General features: G+C 52.4%; 2 protein-coding genes across 8 annotated transcripts, besides 3 other annotated features; one reads left to right on the plus strand and one right to left on the minus strand.

The window, feature by feature from the left end:
* The first annotated feature begins 78 nt into the window (after positions 1–78).
* On the plus strand, positions 79–10,366 carry CAPNS1 (calpain small subunit 1). Of its 7 annotated transcripts, none has more exons than NM_001302632.2 (11): positions 79–278; positions 1,013–1,233; positions 2,313–2,346; positions 2,665–2,754; positions 2,922–2,979; positions 3,077–3,141; positions 5,819–5,887; positions 5,989–6,067; positions 6,209–6,325; positions 9,591–9,649; positions 9,826–10,366. In NM_001302632.2, the coding sequence occupies exons 2-11, from the start codon at positions 1,025–1,027 to the stop codon at positions 9,850–9,852; spliced, it is 807 nt and encodes a 268-aa protein (NP_001289561.1). In that variant the 5' UTR covers positions 79–278; positions 1,013–1,024; the 3' UTR covers positions 9,853–10,366. The 7 variants fall into 7 exon arrangements, with proteins under 7 accessions (NP_001289561.1, NP_001740.1, NP_001003962.1 ...); NM_001749.4 differs by having other exon boundaries at positions 79–170; positions 1,010–1,233; NM_001003962.3 differs by having other exon boundaries at positions 79–170.
* Positions 346–395: an enhancer, noted in NCBI's record as "active region_14518". NCBI's record gives its function as "activates an Ori minimal core promoter by ATAC-STARR-seq in GM12878 lymphoblastoid cells {active_cell/tissue: GM12878}" and the evidence as "EXISTENCE:reporter gene assay evidence [ECO:0000049][PMID:35858748]".
* Positions 486–545: an enhancer, noted in NCBI's record as "active region_14519". NCBI's record gives its function as "activates an Ori minimal core promoter by ATAC-STARR-seq in GM12878 lymphoblastoid cells {active_cell/tissue: GM12878}" and the evidence as "EXISTENCE:reporter gene assay evidence [ECO:0000049][PMID:35858748]".
* A 568-nt stretch (positions 10,367–10,934) lies between the features above and the next one.
* On the minus strand, positions 10,935–12,460 carry COX7A1 (cytochrome c oxidase subunit 7A1). The gene is made up of 4 exons (NM_001864.4): positions 12,406–12,460; positions 11,682–11,768; positions 11,475–11,559; positions 10,935–11,047 (listed from the first exon to the last, which is right to left on the minus strand). Exons 1-4 carry the CDS (start codon positions 12,418–12,420, stop codon positions 10,995–10,997), a joined length of 240 nt encoding a protein of 79 aa, NP_001855.1. The 5' UTR covers positions 12,421–12,460; the 3' UTR covers positions 10,935–10,994.
* Positions 15,356–16,087: an enhancer, noted in NCBI's record as "NANOG-H3K27ac-H3K4me1 hESC enhancer chr19:36646245-36646976 (GRCh37/hg19 assembly coordinates)". NCBI's record gives its function as "activates a minimal SCP1, AML or CMV promoter by ChIP-STARR-seq in primed H9 embryonic stem cells {active_cell/tissue: H9 hESC(primed)}" and the evidence as "EXISTENCE:reporter gene assay evidence [ECO:0000049][PMID:30033119]".

The raw sequence follows: 21,200 nt of genomic DNA on the forward strand, positions 1-21,200 counted from the left end.
CAATGTCCGCTTCGGCTCTAGGACCGCGCGGGCGACAGCAGGGCCGCGGTGCAGTGTCCGACCCGAGAGTTGCGGCCTGAGTCACCGGCCCCGCCCTCCGGAGCCGGACGCTGCGGGAGGCCCGGGAGCGGCAGTGGAACCGACTCCCAGAACTCCGGACGTGTGCGGCGGTAAGCGCCCGGCCCGTACCCCCTCCGCACCCCGCAACTCCGACTTTGGCGGCCCCCAGACCCGGCGAAACCGTGAAGTCTCGGCCTCAGGAGCCCCCCAGATCCATGGTCTCAGATTCGAACCCTCAGACCTGTTCGATCTCCTTTTATGCCGTCCCGGGGACCCTTCTCCACCCTCTGTCTCATGATCCAAAATACAGGCCCATAGGTTTCAGAGATACCCTGTGAATTCTTCCTTGGGGTGTCCTGAACCGCGATCGTAGATCTGTGCCCCCAGTTCCAGCGGGGAACCCCATTGTCCGGGAACCCAGAGCTCACAGCCACGATCTTAGACCCGAGCCCACAGAGCCAGAGGTGACACTGGAATCCTGCCGCTGGGAATACCTAAATTCTCAAGCCCACATTTGGGATTTCCTAAACCCCGCCCTGGGGCCCTTTAGGCCGTGGATGTTTGCTCCGCGCCCATGACCTGCCAAGGACCTCTACATTCAGGCTGGGCTCTGGATCTCACATTCTAGCGCCCAGACATGTCGGGAACGCCTTACGCCAACTTGGGGTCCCCACCAAGAGAACCCCCACCAGATCTGCACCCTCCCCTTCACGCGTGCACCCAGTCCAGGCTCCCTCAAGCCCCACGGGTGCCTTTTAGACCTGAGGAGGTTGCAAACCTGATCCCCCATACCTGCCCCACCCATCCGCGGACAACCCGCCCTCGCAAACTCAGACCCCCACCCGGAGGCTTCAGATTCCTCCCAGGTCCAGCTGCCGGAAATGCGTGTTTGAAGGGAGGGTGTGGGCTCAGGGGCGAAGCACCCACTGGTCCCCTTTTTTCCCCCCAGCAGTGAGTCGCAGCCATGTTCCTGGTTAACTCGTTCTTGAAGGGCGGCGGCGGCGGCGGCGGGGGAGGCGGGGGCCTGGGTGGGGGCCTGGGAAATGTGCTTGGAGGCCTGATCAGCGGGGCCGGGGGCGGCGGCGGCGGCGGCGGCGGCGGCGGCGGTGGTGGAGGCGGCGGTGGCGGTGGAACGGCCATGCGCATCCTAGGCGGAGTCATCAGCGCCATCAGGTAAGGCGGAGACTATCAGAGGGGCGGGGCCTGGGAATGGGAGGAGCCTCAGTGAGGCGTGGTCTGGGAGGGGCGTGGTCTAAAAATAGAATAGGATTAACCTGGAGGCTAACCTGGGTACATGAATTAGGCCGGGGAGGCCTGGTTTGAGAGTTCTGCTGTAAGGGGGTGGACCCCAGTGAGGCGGATATCAGTCATTGGGGGCGGTGCTTGATATGGGAGTAGTCTGATTGTGTGGGACCAGGACAATGTGGTCCTGAGGGGACTGATGTGGAGTTTTGGCGGGTGGGGCTTATGGGTCTGGGCTCAGCCTGCATTGGCTAACCTGGAGATGAACGTTAAAGGTGCGGAGCCAATGCGTCTGAGTGACATTTTACGGAAGGGGCTTGACTTATGAGTGTGGTCAGAGGTTTTAGGTGGGTTAATGAGGAGGTGAGCCCAGGAGGAAGCAAGACCTAATGGGGTAGGGTAAATGGCCCAGAATGGGCTGGGCTTGCTGGGAACTGGCTGGATTAATGGAGAAAAATGCCCTGGTAGGGATAGGGCAGGTTGGCTTAATTAGCCACGGCCACTTAGCAGTGATCCCTTGAAGGGGCGGGGACCAATGGCTGGGGTAGGATGTTGGGAAGACGGGCATTTAGGAAGCGGGCCATGGAGTAGGGTCTTGGGCAGATGGCACCTGAGGAGGATAAGGCCTTGGGAAGCTGGGGCAGAGCCTCTATGAAGTGAGCCCTCCAAGGGGCGGGGTCTTTTGATTCTACGTGGGATTTTTTAGGTTTAGGGTGGCCAAGATGACTGAAATCTGCCACTGGGTAGGTGTGCCTGGCAGGAGGGGAGCCTCCCAGGGGACCGGTCTCTGGGTTTCCTCGAGGGTGGGGTTGGCCTGAGGAAGGGAGAAGAGGGGCACGACCAGGGCAGTGTGGATTGGGACAGATGAGGACAAGAACAAATGAAAGGCACAGCAACCAAGTAAGGAAGATAACGGCTGGGGTCTGGAGCGTTGGGGCTGATGGTTCTGTAGTGCTGCCCGTTGGAGGCCCCGCCCCTGGCACTAACCCCTCCCCCTTATCTCTTCGCAGCGAGGCGGCTGCGCAGTACAACCCGGAGCCCCCGGTAAGCCCCCTCTGCAACCAGACCCCCTTCTCCTGCCAAGGCCTCTTCGAGGTCCCATCCCTGTTCCTGTAGAGAAGCCCCACCTTCCTCCCCTTCTTGTGAAATTCCTCTGCCAGTTCCTCCCATGCCGTGTCTGCAGCTTCGCCATGGGTCTTAGCCATGCCCCACATACGTGCACCCCATTCACTACCACCCCTCATTCTTTTCCTCATCAAGCTGCCCAGCCCACTCTGACTTCCCCACCCAGGGTACCTGGGTTTGGGGAGCCGTCCTGGCCGGGTTCCCCTCCCCCTGCTCTGAGCTCTCCTCCCTTTGCAGCCCCCACGCACACATTACTCCAACATTGAGGCCAACGAGAGTGAGGAGGTCCGGCAGTTCCGGAGACTCTTTGCCCAGCTGGCTGGAGATGTAAGTAACCTGGGGTCCCTGGCCCCGTCCTAACCGTTCCATCCCTTCCCTTGTGGCTGCCCTTGCACACACACCCTTGACCATGACAATCCCAGTGTTCCCATTCTCCATGACATTCTCAGACCCCTTTCAGTCACCCCTGACCTGCCCCTAACTTCCGCCCGCAGGACATGGAGGTCAGCGCCACAGAACTCATGAACATTCTCAATAAGGTTGTGACACGACGTAAGTGACCGGGGTTAAGGAATAGGGTAGATTCAGAGGCAGAGGGGTCAGAGAGGATTTGACCTCTGGCCTCTGACTTTCAACCTGTTACCCACAGACCCTGATCTGAAGACTGATGGTTTTGGCATTGACACATGTCGCAGCATGGTGGCCGTGATGGATGTATCCTTGGGGGCAGTGTGGGAGAGGCCCTGGGTGGACAGAGAGTTTTTTGAGAGTATGTTTGGGAAGCCAACATGTAGCTTTCATATCCACAGATGTGGAAATGCATTCATCAGAACACAGTCACCTGCAGACATGTGGCGGTAAATCATAACAATGCCAGCTGTCACAGCTGGCACTTTAATTATATAAAGTGACCGAACCGTCATAACCACCCTGTTGGACAGGCACAATTATTATATTCCATTTTACAGAAGAGGAAACTGAGGCTCAGTTTCCTGAAAGAAGCAGTCATTTGTCTCAAGTTATAGATAAAGGTCAGGCATGGTGGCTCATGCCTGTAATCCCAACACTTTGGGAGGCTAAGGTGGGCAGATCACCTGAGGTCAGGAGTTTGAGACCAGCCTGGCCAACATGGTGAAACCCCATCTCTATTAAAAATACAAAAATTGGCCAGGCACGGTGGCTCACACCTGTAATCCCAGCACTTTGGGAGGCCGAGGCGGGCGGATCACGAGATCAGGAGATTGAGACCATCCTGGCTAACACAGTGAAACCCTGTCTCTACCAAAAAAAAAAAAAAAATTAGCCGGGCGTAGTGGCGGGCGCCTGTAGTCCCAGCTATTCGGGAGGCTGAAGCAGGAGAATGGCGTGAACCCGAGAGGAGGAGCTTGCAGTGAGCCGAGATCGCGCCACTGCACTCCAGCCTGGGCGACAGAGCCAGACTCTGTCTCAAAAAATAAAATAAAAATAAAAATAAAAATAGGCCGGGCGCCGTGGCTCACGCCTGTAATCCCAGCACTTTGGGAGGCCGAGGCGGGCGGATCACGAGGTCAGGAGATCGAGACCATCCTGGCTAACACGGTGAAACCCTGTCTCTACTAAAAATACAAAAAAATTAGCCGGGTGCAGTGGTGAGCGCCTGTAGTCCCAGCTACTCGGGAGGCTGAGGCAGGAGAATGGCGTGAACCTGGGAGGCGGAGCTTTGCAGTGAGCCGAGATCGCGCCACTGCACTCCAGCCTAGGCGACAGAGAGAGACTCCGTCTCAAAAAAAAAAAAAAAGAAAAAAAAAGAAAAATAACAATAACAAAAATTAGCTGGGCGTGGTGGTGCACGCCTGTAGTCCCAGCTACTCGGGAGTCCCAGCTACTCAAGCAGGAGAATTGCTTGAACCCGGGAGGCGGAGGTTGCAGTGAGCAGAGGTTTCGTCACTGCACTCCAGTCTGTGGACTCAGGTCTTTTGGGCTTGAGAACCCACGTTTATAACAGCCACATGCGCATATACACACACACACACCTAAGAGCACACCCACATACGTGAAGGTGTATGAGGCAGTGTGCACAGGGACACACGTGTTATCTGTACATGGGCCAGCCATTAGCTGATCTTGGATACATGCATATTTTTATTTATTTTTGTTTTAAAAAATATTTTATAGAGAAAAGCTTTCACTATATTGACCTGGCAAGTCTCAAACTCCAGACCTTAAGCAATCCTTCCGCCTTGGCCTCCCAAAGTGTTGGGATTACAAGCTTGAGACACTGCGCCTGGCCTCATGCACATTTAACACATAGGGCAAACAGACACATACATAATATACATGTCATGTAATCACAGACATATTGCATAGAGCAAAGCAATCCCAACTCTACCTCTTAACCAGGTTATTGAACCGCTCTGTGCCTCAGTTTCTCTCTCTGTAAAATGGGTGAGTGATAATGGTGATACCGAATCGGAACTACATCCAAAAGGTTTAGCACAGTGTATAGCGCATAGTATGTGGTCTGTACACATTAGCTCTTAACTATGATCTTGGGTAGAGTTTTCAGCTTTGAATGTTTTCTTCTCTGGAAATAGTCCTGGTAGAACTGGTGTCCCAAGGATTTAGTGAGAAAGTGATGTTCCTGAGTGGACATCAGGTGGATCCTGAGTTCAAGCGATCCACCTGCCTTGGCTTCCCAAAGTGCTGGGATTACAGGCATGAACCACCATGCCTGGTCACACACTTGTTTTTCACATATCCTAACATTTTTATGAAATTGAGTTACTGTCAAGAATTTTCTTTTCTTTCTCTTTTTTTTTTTTTTTTTTTGAGACAGAGTCTCACTCTGTTTCCCAGGCTGAAGTGCGGTGGTGCCATCTTGGCTCACTGCTAACTCCACCTCCTAGGTTCAAGCAGTTCTCCTCCCTCAGCCTCCTGAATAGCTGGGATTACAGGTGTGCGCTACTACAGCTGGCCAATTTTTGTATTTTTAGTAGAGACGGGATTTCATCATGTTGGCCAGGCTGGTCTCGAACTCCTGACCTCAAGTGAACCGCCTGCTTCGGCCTCCCAAAGTGCTGGATTGCAGGCGGGAGCCACCGTGCGTGGCCTATTAAGAATTTTCTGAATGAGCAATTAACAACTCTTCAGGCAAGGAATTTGTACTTTAGAGTAGTTGAATATAATTCCTCATGGTTATGTTTAAAGAGAATCCCTATTTAGAAATGTAAGTGACAATATGTATGGATAAAATGAAAAATAAAACCGCACACCAGGTGATATGACTAGGACCAAGCGGGAGCTGGAGTTTCAGCCCTGGCTGCCCTGCTTGCTGTATCACCATCGTGTCCACAGTGCATGTGATGCATGCATCTGGGTGTAGCTGTCACTCTTCTTAACACCCTCCCACCAGAGCGACACCACAGGCAAGCTGGGCTTTGAGGAATTCAAGTACTTGTGGAACAACATCAAAAGGTGGCAGGTGTGTAGAAACCTCTGAAATCCCTGGCACCCAGACCCCCAAGCCATGGAGACACTATGCCCCACAATGCTCACTTGGACCCAATGTCTCTGTCCTCACAGGCCATATACAAACAGTTCGACACTGACCGATCAGGGACCATTTGCAGTAGTGAACTCCCAGGTGCCTTTGAGGCAGCAGGTATGGCTGGCAGGGACATGCTGGGGCTGGGAGTGGGATGGGTGAGAAAACCTCTACTCAGCTGGTCTGGGCCTGACTCCTGGGCATGGGAGTGGGTTGGGCCATGTGGCCCCCGCACCTGAAGGACTACATCCATCTTAGGGTTCCACCTGAATGAGCATCTCTATAACATGATCATCCGACGCTACTCAGATGAAAGTGGGAACATGGATTTTGACAACTTCATCAGCTGCTTGGTCAGGCTGGACGCCATGTTCCGTGAGTGACAACCCAGCTGTCTTCCTGGGTGGGGATTCCTATGACCTCTATGGACCAAGGTCTCCTCTAAGCCTGACTTTGAGGTGGGCGATGCTAGGGGCACAGTGGTGATTGAATCAGTTCCAGTTTCTGCCCTCATGGAGCTCACAGTCTGGTGGAGGAGACACAAGTCCCCAGACAGTGACAGTTCAGACTGGTGATGGCTGGGAGAGGGGAAGCTCAGGGCAGAGTGATGGGTTGTGATGGGGGCAGCACAGGCCGAGGGTCTAGGGCTCTGGTGAGGGGAAGAGTGAGCAGAGCGTGCTCAGATTGTGCTTGGGGAAGCCTAGAGGGCAAATCCAATCCAGGAGGAACCTGATGCAGCCCAAGGGGTCAGGGAGGGCTCACTGGAGAGGGAACATTGAGACCTGAGGGGATGAGGAGAGAACTTAGTGAGAAGGTAGGGAATACTGTTGCAGGCTGAGGGAACAGCCTGTGCAAAGGCCTAGAAGGGAAAGAAGATGGGGCTTCTGATGCTTTTTGTTAGATTTCTTTCTTTCTATTTTTTTGAGACAGAGTCTGCTGCTCTTGTTGCCCAGGCTGGAGTGCAGTGGCATGATCATGGCTGACTGCAGCCTCAACTCCTAGGCTCCAGCAGTCCTCCTGCCTCAGCTTACCGAATACCTGGGAGTACAGGCACACACCGCCATGCCTGGCTAATTTTTAAAATTTTTTGTAGAGACAGGGTCTTGCTATGTTGCCCAGGCTGGTCTTGAACTCCTGGGCTCCAGCAATCCTCCTACCTCAGCCTCCCAAAGCTTTGGTGTTACAGGCATGAGCCATTGCATGTGGCCTTCTGAGTGTTAGTGTACTGAATGCTGAAGACATGGCTGGGAAGTGGGGATTACTGTCCTTATTTTGTGAAGGAGGAACTTAGGATTCAAGGAGGCAAATTTTCATGCTCATAGTCACCCAGCTAGGAAGTTGTAAAGCCAGAATTTGAACTTGGATCTATCTGAGATCTGAGCTAAGTAAGAGAAGGTAGGAGCAGTGAGCATGATTAGGTCATGCAGGATTGTGGGTGCCAAGTTTGGGGGTGCTCAAACTCTACCAGAGACATTGGGGAGCCATGGCAGGTTCTAGGCAGAGGGAGGACAGGGTCAGGTTTGGCTTTAGAAAGATCCCTTGGCCTCGGCTGGGCACGGTGGCTCACGCCTGTAATCCCAGCACTTTGGGAGGCCGAGGAGGGCGGATCACGAGGTCAGGAGTTCGAGACCATCCTGGCTAACACAGTGAAACCCCATCTCTACTAAAAATACAAAAAATTAGCCAGGTGTGGTGGCGGGCGCCTGTAGTCCCAGCTACTTGGGAGGCTGAGGCGGGAGAATGGCATGAACCCAGGAGGCGGAGCTTGCAGTGAGCTGAGATCTGCCACTGCACTCCAGCCTGGGTGACAGATCGAGACTCCGTCTTAAAAAAAAAAAATCCCTTGGCCTCCAGGCCGGGTGCAGTGGCTTATGCCTGTAATCCCAGCACTCTGGGAGGCTGAGGTGGGCGTAAAACCTGAGGTCAGGAGTTCAAGACCAGCCTGGCCAACATGGCGAAACCCCGCATCTACTAACGATACAAAAGTTAGCCAGGCGTGGGGGCGTGTCTGTAGTCCCAGCTACTCAGGAGGTTTAGGGAGGGAGAATTGCTTGAACCCAGGAAGCGGAGGTTGCAGTGAGCAGAGGTCATGCCATTGCACTCCAGCCTCCAACCTGGGTGACAAGAGCGAGATTCCATCTCAAAAAAAAAAAAAGAAAAAAAGATCCCTTGGCCTCCAGAGAGCCCACAATGCATGAAAAGTAACAGAGGAAAAGAAGCAGGTATGTGAGATAGCAGGGAGGTGAAGGGAGTGGACAGACAAGGTTGATGCCACAAGTCACATAAGAGGGGCCAGGAAATAGCCACTGGATCTACCAGCAAGAAGGCTGATAGTCGGGAGGATCATTTGAGTCCAGGAGTTTGAGACCAGCCTGGGCAATGTAGTAGGACTCCATCTCTACAAAAAAAAAAAAATATATGTATATAGACATAGCCGGGCATGGTGGCACATGCCTGTGGTCTCAGTTGCTCGGGAGGCTGAGGTAGGAGAATCACTTGAGCCCGGGAGGGTGAGGCTGCAGTGAGCTATGATCTTGCCACTGGACTCCAGCCTGGGCCACAGAGACACCGTCTAAAAAAAAAAAAAAAAGGGCTGGGCATGGTGGCTCACTCCTGTAATCCCAGCACTTTGGGAGGCCGAGGTGGGCGGATCACCTGATGTCAGGAGTTTGAGACCAGCCTGGCCAACATAGTGAAACCCCGTCTCTACTAAAAATACAAAAAAATTAGCCAGGCGTGGTGGTGCACGCCTGTAGTCCCAGCTACTCAGGAGGCTGAGGCAGGAGAATCACTTGAACCTGGGAGGCAAAGGTTGCAGTGAGCCAAGATCGTGCCACTGCACTCCAGCCTGGGCAACAGAGTGGGACTCTGTCTCAAAAAAAAAAAGAAAGAAAGGCAGCCAGGGTGTGCAGGACGCTGTGGGTATGGACACCTGAGGGTGGTGGTAACTGAGCGGAGATAGTGTAGTCATCATGTCTAGATTCCCTGTGGGTGGGGAACATGGAGTCAAGTTTCAGGGCAGGCGTGGGGACCTACCTGTAAGACTCTAGGGGCAGGAAGTAGAGTGTGCAGAGCCTCCCTCTAGTAGCCTGTTAGGCTTAGAACTGGAGAGGATGGAGCATAGATGTCAGTAGGAGGCTGGGGCTGGGCAGAGGTGATATCAGTACACAGAGGCCATTATTGAGGAGGGTAACAGATTGGATTCCAATCCTGATTTCTTCACTTTCTTGCTATGTGACCTGGGGCATGGCCCCTCCCTTCCTGCCTCATTTCTTTTTTTCCTGTTTTTAATTTTTAGTTTTTTTAAAAAGCAGAGATGAGGTCTCTGTTGCCCAGGTTGGTCTCGAACTCCTGGGCGGCTCAAGTGATCCTCCCATCTTGGCCTTCCAAAGTGTTGGGATTATAGGTGTGAGCCACCACGCCCAGCCTGTGCCTCATTTTAAAATGACACTTATCTCACAGAGTTGGATTAAATCAGCCAATACCTGGAAAGCACTTTACCCCATGCTTGGCACACAGTAAATACTCAGTGAAGTGCCAGCTGCTATGATTGTCATCCCATGTATTTGTGTAATGTTATTATGCCAAAAACCAGTCTCCTTCCTTCCCTGCCGCCAAACCTCTGCATCTCCTCCTCCAGGTGCCTTCAAATCTCTTGACAAAGATGGCACTGGACAAATCCAGGTGAACATCCAGGAGGTAAGGACCCCCATATTGGGGTATGGGTGCCTGGGAGGACCCCACCCCTCAGCCCTTCATACCAGCTCTGAGCTGCAGTCCCCTTCCTCCTATTTTGCCAGCCGTCCCTGGGTGAGGGCAAAGGGGCTGGTGCTCTTGGGGTTCCCTGTCCTCACTCTCCACCCTCCTCTCCCCAGTGGCTGCAGCTGACTATGTATTCCTGAACTGGAGCCCCAGACCCGCCCCCTCACTGCCTTGCTATAGGAGTCACCTGGAGCCTCGGTCTCTCCCAGGGCCGATCCTGTCTGCAGTCACATCTTTGTGGGGCCTGCTGACCCACAAGCTTTTGTTCTCTCAGTACTTGTTACCCAGCTTCTCAACATCCAGGGCCCAATTTGCCCTGCCTGGAGTTCCCCCTGGCTCTAGGACACTCTAACAAGCTCTGTCCACGGGTCTCCCCATTCCCACCAGGCCCTGCACACACCCACTCCGTAACCTCTCCCCTGTACCTGTGCCAAGCCTAGCACTTGTGATGCCTCCATGCCCCGAGGGCCCTCTCTCAGTTCTGGGAGGATGACTCCAGTCCCTGCACGCCCTGGCACACCCTTCACGGTTGCTACCCAGGCGGCCAAGCTCCAGACCGTGCCAGACCCAGGTGCCCCAGTGCCTTTGTCTATATTCTGCTCCCAGCCTGCCAGGCCCAGGAGGAAATAAACATGCCCCAGTTGCTGATCTCTATGGGATCTGCCTCCTGATCTGACCCGAGAGAGGAGGGGTGGCTCGGGCTCTGGGTCCTGGGGAGCAGGGGAGGTAGTAGATTCGTCCCCAGGGCTGGATCCGTGGATTTCCTCGTCTTTTTCTCGTCGGCATTTTTTGTCTCATCCTGAGCTGTGGAGGCTGAGACAGGACCCAGAAGCCCCAGTGATCTCTGCTTCTGCTTCCAGAGTCTGGGCTGGAGGGAGGTCTCAATGCCACTCCTGGCCCTGTCCCCCAAGGCCATGTTTGCCCCTCTTGCAGCTTCTCCATCCACACTTGGCCTCTGCCTCTGTTGTGTCATGGACCATGCTCAGTGTCTTCCTTCCCACTTGAGGACACCACCCCACGTCCCCGGGTCCCGAGGGGGAGCCTATGGGTGCTGTTTGGGGTACTCAGCAGAGGGCTGAGAGGTAGCAACATCCTAGGAGTATCCCTGGTCCAGCATGAGGCACCGAGGGCTGGGGGCAGTGGGCAGTCCACAGGGCAGAGATCCCTGGCTGGTGGGAGGATGGGCTTGGTGGGGAGGGGTGGACACAAACACAGACACACACAGAGGCCAGCGTTTATTGACACTTGTTCAAGTCTCTCAGGCCCCCCAGGCTTCTTGGTCTTAATTCCTGGGGAAGGAGGCCCAGCCAAGGGAGTACAAGCTGTAGACAGTGCCTAGAAAGGGGAAGCGTTGGAGACAGAATGAGACCTAATCCCCTCCCTGGACATCCCAGGCTTTTAAGGCCTTCAGGCTCCCTGGTTCCCAGCCTGGACCCCAGCTCTAGTTCGGACTCCAGCTCCCTTCCCAGATTGGACTCCTATTGTAAAGCCCCCTGGCTTTGATCTAGACCGGGCTGGGAGCTTTCTCCCCGACTCCTCCCTGGGCCTCAGCCCCACCACTAACCCAGCCCCCGTCCTGGGACAAGAGCCCAAACCCTAGTTACTCCCCTCCCTGCAGGCCTGACTCCAGCTCAGTACTCGACCCCCTTCCTAAACGCCAACCCCCAACCCAGATCCTGGTCAGTCCTGCCCAGAAACCAGCCACCTCTTACTCTGGGTCCAGCCCCGCCTCCCCCGCAGCCCAGACGGGCCCTGCGCTCACCGCCCAGACACAGCGTCATTGTCACTCGGTACAGGATGTTGTCAACGATGCCGCCCTTCAGGTACAACGGGATGTCATTGTCCTCCTGGATGTGGGGGTGTCTGATGAGAAAGGGGTGCTGGCTGCTCCTTAGAGCGCGCCCCGCCTGCCCCGGCTCGGCGCGCTCCCGGCTGGCGCGTCGGATCCCCACCCCCCCCGACCCCCCACCTGGAAGAGCTTCTGTTTCTCGCGCACTCGGTTCTGAAAGCGGTTCCGGGCGGTGGAGCTGAAGGAGCGGATCAGCGCCTGGGACACCTGCGGGGTGGGAGGTGGGCGGGTATTGGAGGCACCTGGAGGGGTGTCCTGAAGTGGGACCCCGCTCTCTGAGGCCTGGACGTGGGGACAGCCCCATCCCTAGCGAGCGTCCCAAAGGCGAGGAGGGTAATAGCTTGGATTCTGTTACCCGCGAACTGCCAGCTGGGTTGGGAGGGGACTCGCCCTGGAGTCTGGCCTGGGGGTGACCGGGCTGCCTAGAGGGTCCTGGAAGGGAGAGGACCCAGAAGGACTTTGTTCTGGGGGGCCTAAGTCCTGAGATTTTTGTTGGGGGAGGGTTTCCTGGATTAAAGGGAGGAAACCAGGTCCCGGGAACGTGGGGACCGGAATGGAGGTCCCCGGGAGCGTCCAGGCTGCCTGAGAAGGCCCGGGTGAGGCCAGTGTTAAGGGTTCCCGAGATGTCAAGTTCAAACCCGGGGCTTTGGGCCGGGGTGGGGGTCCCCAGTTGTCTCCGAAGAGTGGATTGTGGGGGAAGGGACCCAGGCTGTTTAGCGGGGAGTCCCAGGCCCTGAAGGTGGCTCACGTTCCAAGGCCCTAGATGCGGGGGCACTTGGAGAGTCGCGTATTAGGGCGGGGTTTTCTGGGTGGGGGGCTCCGGCCCAGCCCATGGGGGCCTCACCCGAAGGGCCTGCATTCTGCCTTGTCCTCTTCCGCCGGAGTCACCTCCCTTCTCCGCCCAAGGACACGCGTAGTCCTCCTCTGTCCAGGAACCCCAGGCCCCACCCGCTGCGCGCAGCGTGACAGCTGGGGACGCGGCGGGGCTGGGGCTGGGGCTGGGGCTGGGTTGCGGGGAGTCCTGCTCCTCGGATTCGTCCACCACGGAGGAGGCGGTCCAGACCCGCACCCTGGGCCGCAGCGCGCATCCGTTTCGGTCTCGGAATTTCGCTTGGTCCCACCGGAGCCCAAAGCGGTACCAGGGAATACATTTTTGCAGATTTTTGGAGATTTCCGCCGGGGGCAAGTGCAACTCCTCCCCGGATCTCTCCCTGCCCGCTGGTATGTGAGAGTGAGGAAACGCATAAGGCCGTGTTCCAACTCCCTGTTCTGTCTACACAGCCAGAGATTGCACCTCCGAGCCTGTTTCCGTATCTGTAACGTGAGGGCTAAGGCAGGATCTTTCTCAGAGATTTGTTGAGACATTAAATGACCTTGTTTTTAGGAAACACAAGCTAAAGTCTTTGGGAGTAAAACGGTATTTTATGTTACCCTAAGAAACACATCATATCTATTTATAGCTCTCTAATTCTGGCAGTCAACGGGGTGCAGCACAGTTGTCCTAATGGTTTTAGCAACCAGGAAAGATCCTGGCCTAGTCTACAAGGTTTTCTTTTTCTTTTCTTTTTTTTCTTTTTTTTTTAGACAGGGTTTTGCTCTGTTGCACAGGCTGGAGTGCAGTGGTGCGGTCATAGCTCACTGCAGCCTCGACCTCCTGGGTTCAGCGATCCTCCTGCCTCAGCCTCCTGAGTGGCTGGGACTACAGGCGCCCACCACCATGCTCGAACTAATTTTCGTATTTTTTGTAGAGGCTGGGTTTCACCATGTTGCCCAGGCTGGTGTCGAACTCCTGAGCTCAAGAAATTTGCCGGCCTCATCGTGAGCCACGCACCCAGCCAGCAGACAATGTTTGTTTGTTTGTTTTTGAGGCAGTGTCTTGCTATGTTGCCCAGGGTGGTCTCCAACTCCTCCAAGTAATGTTCCTACCTCTATCACCCAAAGTGCTAGAATTAGAGGCATGAGCCACTATACCCAGCTTGTAAAAGGTTTTAACAATCTCTTTTATTTATTTATTTAATTTATATTTTTAGACAGAGTCTTGCTCTGTTGTACACGTTGGAGTGCAGTGGTGTGATCTCGGCTCACTGAAACCTTCTGCCTCCTGGGTTTAGGCAATTCTTGTACCTCAGCCTCCTGAGCAGCTGGGATTACAGGCACCCGCCACCACACCCAGCTCATTTTTGTATTTTTTAGTAGAGATGGGGTTACACCATGTTGGCCAGGCTGGTCTCAAGCTCCCAACCTCAGGTGATCCGCCCACTTTGGCCTTCCAAAGTGCTGGAATTACAGGCCTGAGCCACCGCTTCCAGCCACGGTCTCTTTTAAAGAGGGCTTTTATGATTATTAAATTCCCCTAACACTTTCAAACTATGCTTGTAAATTTAATGTTAGGTTTTTCCATTTAAGAGCCACAAGTAGGGCTGGGCGTGGTGGCTCACACCTGTAATCCCGGCACTTTGGGAGGCCAAGGCAGGTGGATCACTTGAGGCTGGGAGTTTGAGACCAGCCTGGTCAACATGACAAAACCCTGTCTCTACTAAAAATACTAAAATTAACCAGGTGTGGTCATGGGCGCCTACAATCCCAGCTGCTTGTGAGGCTGAGGCACAAAAATCGTTTGAACCCAAGAGGCACGGAGGCTGCAGTGAGCCAAGATTGCACCACTGCACTCCAGCTTGGGTGACAGAACGAGATTCTGTCTCAGAAAAAAAAAAAAAAAAAAGCTGACTTACCAGATAAACAGATGACTCTTTCTTCAATTCTTAAATAACTTTTATGAATAAAAAATTCATAAACTGTACATAAACAGATTTCAAGTAAGTCTTAGTCACCAGCTGAATTCCACATTTTACAATGGAATTACAAGATTGACCTGTTATTTGAATAGGCCAGTTTACCTTAAATATTACAAATTCTTAAAATACCAAGTATTCACAGATTCTCTAACACAAAGTTAATACCATGGGGGCCAGGCACTGTGGCTCACGCCAGTAATTCCAACACTTTGGGAGGCCGAGGTGGGTGGATCACCTGGGTCAGGAGTTCGAGACCAGCCTGGCCAGCATGGTGAAACCCCGTCTCTACTAAAAATACAAAAATTAGCCAGGCGTGGTGGTGGGTGCCTGTAATCCCAGATACTCCGGAGGCTGAGGCAGGAGAATCACTTGAACCTGGGAGGCGGAGGTTGCACTGAGCAGAGATTACGCCATTACACTCCAGCCCGGGCAAGAGAGCGAGACTCCATCTCAAAACAAAACAAAACAAACAAGTTAATACTATGGTTTTGACTGTCTTAATTTTCTTTTTTCTTTTTTGAGACGGAGTCTTGCTCAGTCACCCAGGCTGGAGTGCAGTGGCGCCATCTCGGCTCACTGCAAGCTCCGCCTCCCAGGTTCACGCCATTCTCCTGCCTCAGGCTCCCCAGTAGCTGGGACTACAGGCGCCCGCCACCACGTCCAGCTAAGTTTTTTTTTTGTATTTTTAGTAGAGACAGGGTTTCACCGTGTTAGCCAGGATGGTCTCAATCTCCTGACCTCGTGATCCACCCGCCTCGGCCTCCCAAAGTGCTGGGATTACAGGCGTGAGCCACCACGCCCAGCCTCTTTTTTTTCTATTTGAGATGAAGTCTCGCTCTGTCACCCAGGCTGGAGTGCAATGGCGCAATCTCTGCTCACTGCAGTCTCCGCCTCCCGGGTTCAAGTGATTCCCCTGCCTCAGCCTCCCAAGTAGCTGGGACTAGGTGCACGACACCACGCCTGGCTAATTTTTTGTATTTTAGTAGAGACGAGGTTTCACCATGTTGGCCAGGATGGTCACGAACTCCTGACCTCAGGTGATCCATCTGTCTCGGCCTCCCAAAGTGCTGGGATTACAGGCGTGACCCACTGTGCCTGTCCTGTTTTTCTTTCATTTTCTTTATTTGTTTATTTCATGCGCGTCCGTGTGAAGAGACCACCAAACAGGCTTTGTGTGAGCAACATGGCTGTTTATTTCACCTGGGTGCAGGCGGGCTGAGTCAGAAAAGAGAGTCAGCGAAGGGAGATAGGGATGGGGCCATTTTATAGGATTTGGGAAGGTAATGGAAAATTACTGTCAAAGGGGGTTGTGCTCTGGTGGGCAGGGGCGAAGGGGTCACAAAGTGCTCAGTGGGGGAGCTTCTGAGCCAGGAGAAGGAAATTCACAGGGTTAATCACTCAGTTAAGGTGGGGCAGGAACAAATCACAATGGTGGAATGTCATCAGTTAATGCGGGGCAGGGCCTTTTCACTTTTGTGATTCTTCAGTTACTTCAGGCCATCTGGGTGTATACGTGCAAGTCACAGGAGATGCGATGGCTTGGCTTGGGCTCAGAGGCCTGACATTCCTGCCTTATGTTAATAAGAAAAATAAAATAGTGTCGAAGTGTTGGGGTGGCGAAAATTTTTGGGGGGTGGTATGAAGAGAGAATGGGCGATGTTTCTCAGGGCTGCTTCAAGCGGGATTAGGGGCGGCGTGGGAACCTAGAGTGGGAGAGATTAAGCTGAAGGGAGATCTTGTGGAAAGGGGTGATATTGTGGGGATGTTAGAAGAAACATTTGTCGTATAGAATGATTGGTGATCGCCTGGATACGGTTTTGTATGAATTGAAAAACTAAATGGAATAAGAAAAGGAGCAAAACAGGTATAAAAGGACTAAGAATTGGGAGGACCTAGGACATCTGATTAGAGAGTGCCTAAGGAGATTCAGCATAGTCCTGCCAGCAAAGATTATTTATTTACTTCAAGAGTTAAGAGTGGCAGTTTGGGGATAGCATGAGGAGATATCAGCTGTGATGGCTTGGAGAAACTGTGTAAACTGGCAGTGTAAACAAGAGCAGGGCATGTATGAGTAGTTGAGAACGGTGAATAGGAGTATGACTAGACAGAAGATAGTAGGGATGACAAGTTATTCGGGGGCACAGTCTAAGTTGGTCTGGTGTCTGGAATGAGACTGGGGCCTAATAAAAAGGAGCGTCTATACAGGAGCTTAAATGGGCTGTAGCTTGTAGCATTCTGAGGACAGGTCTGACTTCTGAGAAGGGAAAGTGGTAAAAGTATTGTCCAGTCCTTTTTAAGTTGGTGGCTGAGCTTGGTGAGGTGTGTTTTTAATAGACCATTAGTCTGTCACTGAATACTAAGAGCTGGAAAAAATGCTTGGCTGATTTGACTAATAAAGGCTAGTCTGTTACCAGACTGTATAGAGGTGGGAAGGCTAAACTGAGGAATTATGTCTGACAGAAGGGAAGAAATGACTGTGGTGGCCTTCTCAGACCCTGTAGGAAAGGCCTCTCCCTATCTAGTGAAAGTGTCTACTTAGACTAAGAGGTATTTTAGTTTTTGTGACTCGGGGCATGTTGAGTAAAGCTAATTTGCCAGTCCTGGGCTGGGGCAAATGCTCAAGCTTGATGTGTAGGGAAGGGAGGGGGCCTGAATAATCCTTGAGGAGTAGTAGAATAACAGATGGAACACTGAGAAGTTATTTCCTTGAGGATAGATTTCTACAATGGAAAGGAAATGAAAGGTTCTAAGAGGCGGGCTAGTGGCTTGTACTATAGCATAGCCTGCCTTTGCTGGTGTGTGGCGATTAGGCCTGGTGGAACTGCCATCAATAAATCAAGCGTGATCAGGGTGAGGAACAGGGAAGAAGGAAATGTGGGGAAATGGGATGAACATCAGGTGGATCACAGAGATGCAGTCATGGGGGTCAGGTGTGGTATCCGGAATAATGTGGGAGGCTGGATTGAAGTCCGGGCCAGGAACAATGGTAATTGTGGGACTTAACAAAAAGTGAGAACAGCTGAAGGAGTCAGGGAGCAGAAAGTATATGCGTCAGGTGTGAGGAAGAAAATAGATTTTGGAAGTTATGAGAAATGTAGAGAGTGAGTTGAGCATAGTTTGTGATTTTGAGGGCCTCTAATAGTATTAAAGCAGTGGCAGCCGCTACACGCAGACATGAGGGCTAGGCTAAAACAGTAAGGTCAAGTTGTTTGCACAGAAAGGCTACAGGGTGCGGTCCTGGCTCTTGTGTAAGAATTCTGACCGCACTAACCATGCCTAGGAAGGGAAGGAGTTGTTGTTTTGTAAGGGATCGAGGTTTGGGAGATTAATCGGACACGAACAGCAGGGAGAGCACATGTGTTTTTACGAGAATTATGCCGAGATAGGTAACAGATGAGGATGAAATTTGGGCTTGACTGAAGTAATGGGGTCTGTCTGTGAAGCCTTGCGGCAGTACAGCCCAGGTAATTTGCTGAGCCTGATGGGTGTCAGGGTCAGTCCAAGTGAAAGGGAAGAGAGGCTGGGAAGATGGGTGCAAAGGAATAGGAAAGAAAGCATGTTTGAGATCCAGAACAGAATAATGGATTGTGGAGGGAGGTATTGAGGATAGGAGAGTATATGGGTTTGGCACCATGGGGTGGATAGGCAAAACAATTTGGTTAATAAGGCATAGATCCTGAACTAACCTGTAAGGCTTTTCCAGTTTTTGGACAGGTAAAATGGGGGAATTGTAAGGAGAGTTTATAGGCTTTAAAAGGCCATGCTGTAGCAGGCGAGTGATAACAGGCTTTAATCCTTTCAAAGCATGCTGTGGGATGGGATGTTGGCACTGAGCCGGGTAAGGGTGATTAGCTTTTAATGAGATGGTAAGGGGTGCATGATCGGTCACCAAGGAGGGAGTAGAGGTATCTTATACTTGTGGGTTAAGGTGGGGGGATACAAGAGGAGGATGCAAAGGAGGCTTTGGATTGGGAAGAAGGGCGGCAATGAGATGCAGCTGTAGTCCAGGAATAGTCAGGGAAGCAGATAATTTGGTTAAAATATCTCGGCCTAATAAGGGAACTGGGCAGGTGGGGATAACTAAAAATGAGTGCATAAAAGAGTATTGTCTAAGTTGGCACCAGAGTTGGGGAGTTTTAAGAGGTTTAGAAGCCTGGCTGTCAATACCTACAACAGTTATGGAGGCAAAGGAAACAGGCCCTTGAAAAGAAGGTAATGTGGAGTGGGTAGCCTCCGTATTGATTGAGAAGGGGACGGACTTACCCTCCACTGTGAGAGTTACCTAAAGCTCGGCATCTGTGATGGTCTACGGGGCTTCCGAGGCAATCGGGCAGCGTCAGTCTTCAGCCGCTAAGCCAAGAAGGAGTCAGTCAGAGAGCCTTGGGCAAGAGTTCCAGGGGCTCTGGGAGTGGCTGCCAGGTGAGTTGAACAGTCCGATTTCCAGTGGGGTCCTGCACAGATGGGACACGGCTTAGGAGGAATCCTGGACTGCAGGCATTCCTTGGCCTGGTGGTCAGATTTCTGGCACTTGTAGCAAGCTCCTGGGGGAGGAGGTTCTGGAGGAACGCCTGGCCGCTGCGGTTCAGGCGTTTGGAAGTTCTTGTGTGCTGGAGATGTGGCTGGGGTTTGTCTCACAGTGGAGGCAAGGAATTGCAACTTTTTTTTATTATTGTACACCTTAATTAAGTCCTGTTTTGGGGTTTGAGGGCCAGATTCCAATTTTTGGAGTTTTATTTAATGTCGGGAGCAGATTGGATAATAAAATGTATATTGAGAATAAGATGGCCTTTTGACCTTTTAGGGTCTAGGGCTGTAAAGCATCTCAGGGTTGCTGCCGAACAAGCCATGAACTGGGCTGTGTTTTTATATTTGATGAAAAAGAGCCTAAACGCTTCTGATTTGGGATAAAGAAAAAGCATTAACCTTGACTATGCCTTTGGCTCCAGCCACCTTTTTAAGAGTAAATTGCTGGGCAGGTGGGGGAGGGCTAGTCACAGAACGAAACTGTAAGCTGGACCAGGTGTGAGGAGGGGAGGTGATAAAAGGATTATAGGGTGGAGGAGCGGAGGCTGAGGAAGAATTGGGACCTAGCTCGGCCCGGCGAGGAGGGGAGAGGTCAGATGGGTCTGTAGAAAAGGAAGATTAGAAAGACTCAGCAATGCTTGGGGTTGGGAGTGAGGGGACAGGTGGGAGGGAAAGAAGGAAGATTTGGGACGAGTTGCACTGGGCACAGAGACTAGGAAAGGACTGATGTGTAAAAGAATGCCTGGACATCAGGCACCTCAGACCATTTGCCCATTTTACGACTAGAATTATTTAGATCTTGTAGGATGGAAACATTGAAAGTGCCGTTTTCCAGCTATTTGGAACTACTGTGGAGTTTGTATTGGGGTCAAGCGGCATTGCAGAAGAAAATAAGACGCTTAGATTTTAGGTCAGGTGAGAGTTGAAGAGGTTTATAAGTTCTTAAGAATACAGGCTAAGGGAGAAGGAGGAGGAATGGAGGGTGGAAACTTGCCCATAGTGAAGGAGGCAAGCCCAGAGAAAAGAGTAGAGACACGGAGAAGGGGCGGGGGTTTCTTGCCCTTCAGAAAAGCAGAGAAAGGGTTGGGGCATGGAAATAAGGGATTGGGGGTTCTTGCCCCCTAGAAAAGTGGGACTTACCACTAACGGTGAAGAAGGGGTTGAGGGGTTCTTGCTCCTGCCCCAGAAGAGCAGAGAAGGGGTAGAGACACGGAGAGAAGGGGTTGGGGTACTTGCCCCTCCCCGAGAAAAGCGGGACTTGCCACTAAGGGTGAAGGACCAAGGCAGGTGTCCCTGCGTGGTTTGACACCTTTGAAACGTGGGGGAATAATCAGAGAGGTGGCCCTGCAATGATTAAACACCAAGGGAAGGCTGCCTTCCCAGTCCGTGACCGGCGCCGGAGTTTTGGGTCCACGGATAAAACGTGTCTCCTTTGTCTCTACCAGAAAATGAAAGGAATTGAAATTAAGAGAATGGAGAGATTGAAGTGTGGCGCCAAGATTGAAAGGAGAAAGAGGTTGAGGGATAGGGAGGTTGGAGAAGAGAGTAAAAAGAGGCCGCTTACCGGATTTGAAATTGGTGAGATGTTTCTTGGGCTGGTCAGTCTGAGGACCTGAGGTCATAGGTGGATCTTTCTCACGGAGCAAAGAGCAGGAGGACGGGGGATTGATCTCCCAAGGGAGGTCCCCCGATCAGAGTCACGGCACCAAATTTCATGCGCCACATTTCATGCGCGTCCATGTGAAGAGACCACCAAACAGGCTTTGTGTGAGCAACATGGCTGTTTATTTCACCTGGGTGCAGGCGGGCTGAGTCGGAAAAGAGAGTCAGCGAAGGGAGATAGGGGTGGGGCCGTTTTATAGGATTTGGGAAGGTAATGGAAAATTACAGTCAAAGGGGGTTCTCTGGTGGGCAGGGGCAGGGGGTCACAAAGTGCTCAGTGGGGGAGCTTCTGAGCCAGGAGAAGGAAATTCACAGGGTTAATCACTCAGTTAAGGTGGGGCAGGAACAAATCACAATGGTGGAATGTCATCAGTTAATGCGGGGCAGGGCCTTTTCACTTCTTTTGTGATTCGTCAGTTACTTCAGGCCGTCTGGGCATATACGAGCAAGTCACAGGGGTTGCGATGGCTTGGCTTGGGCTCAGAGGCCTGACAGTTTATTTTTGCCTCTTGGTTCAGCGACACAAGGACCTCAAAATGTTCAGGTGGAAGTCTTATCTCCCAGTTGTTGGATCCATTGTTGTGTGCCCAGTGGAAGCATTCCTCTCCATGAGGACCAAAATCTCTAAACTAGCAGAGCTCAAAGCTGTTGAGGAGAG

Source organism: Homo sapiens, chromosome 19, assembly GCF_000001405.40.
Source record: "Homo sapiens chromosome 19, GRCh38.p14 Primary Assembly".
Taxonomy (NCBI): Eukaryota; Metazoa; Chordata; class Mammalia; order Primates; family Hominidae; genus Homo; species Homo sapiens.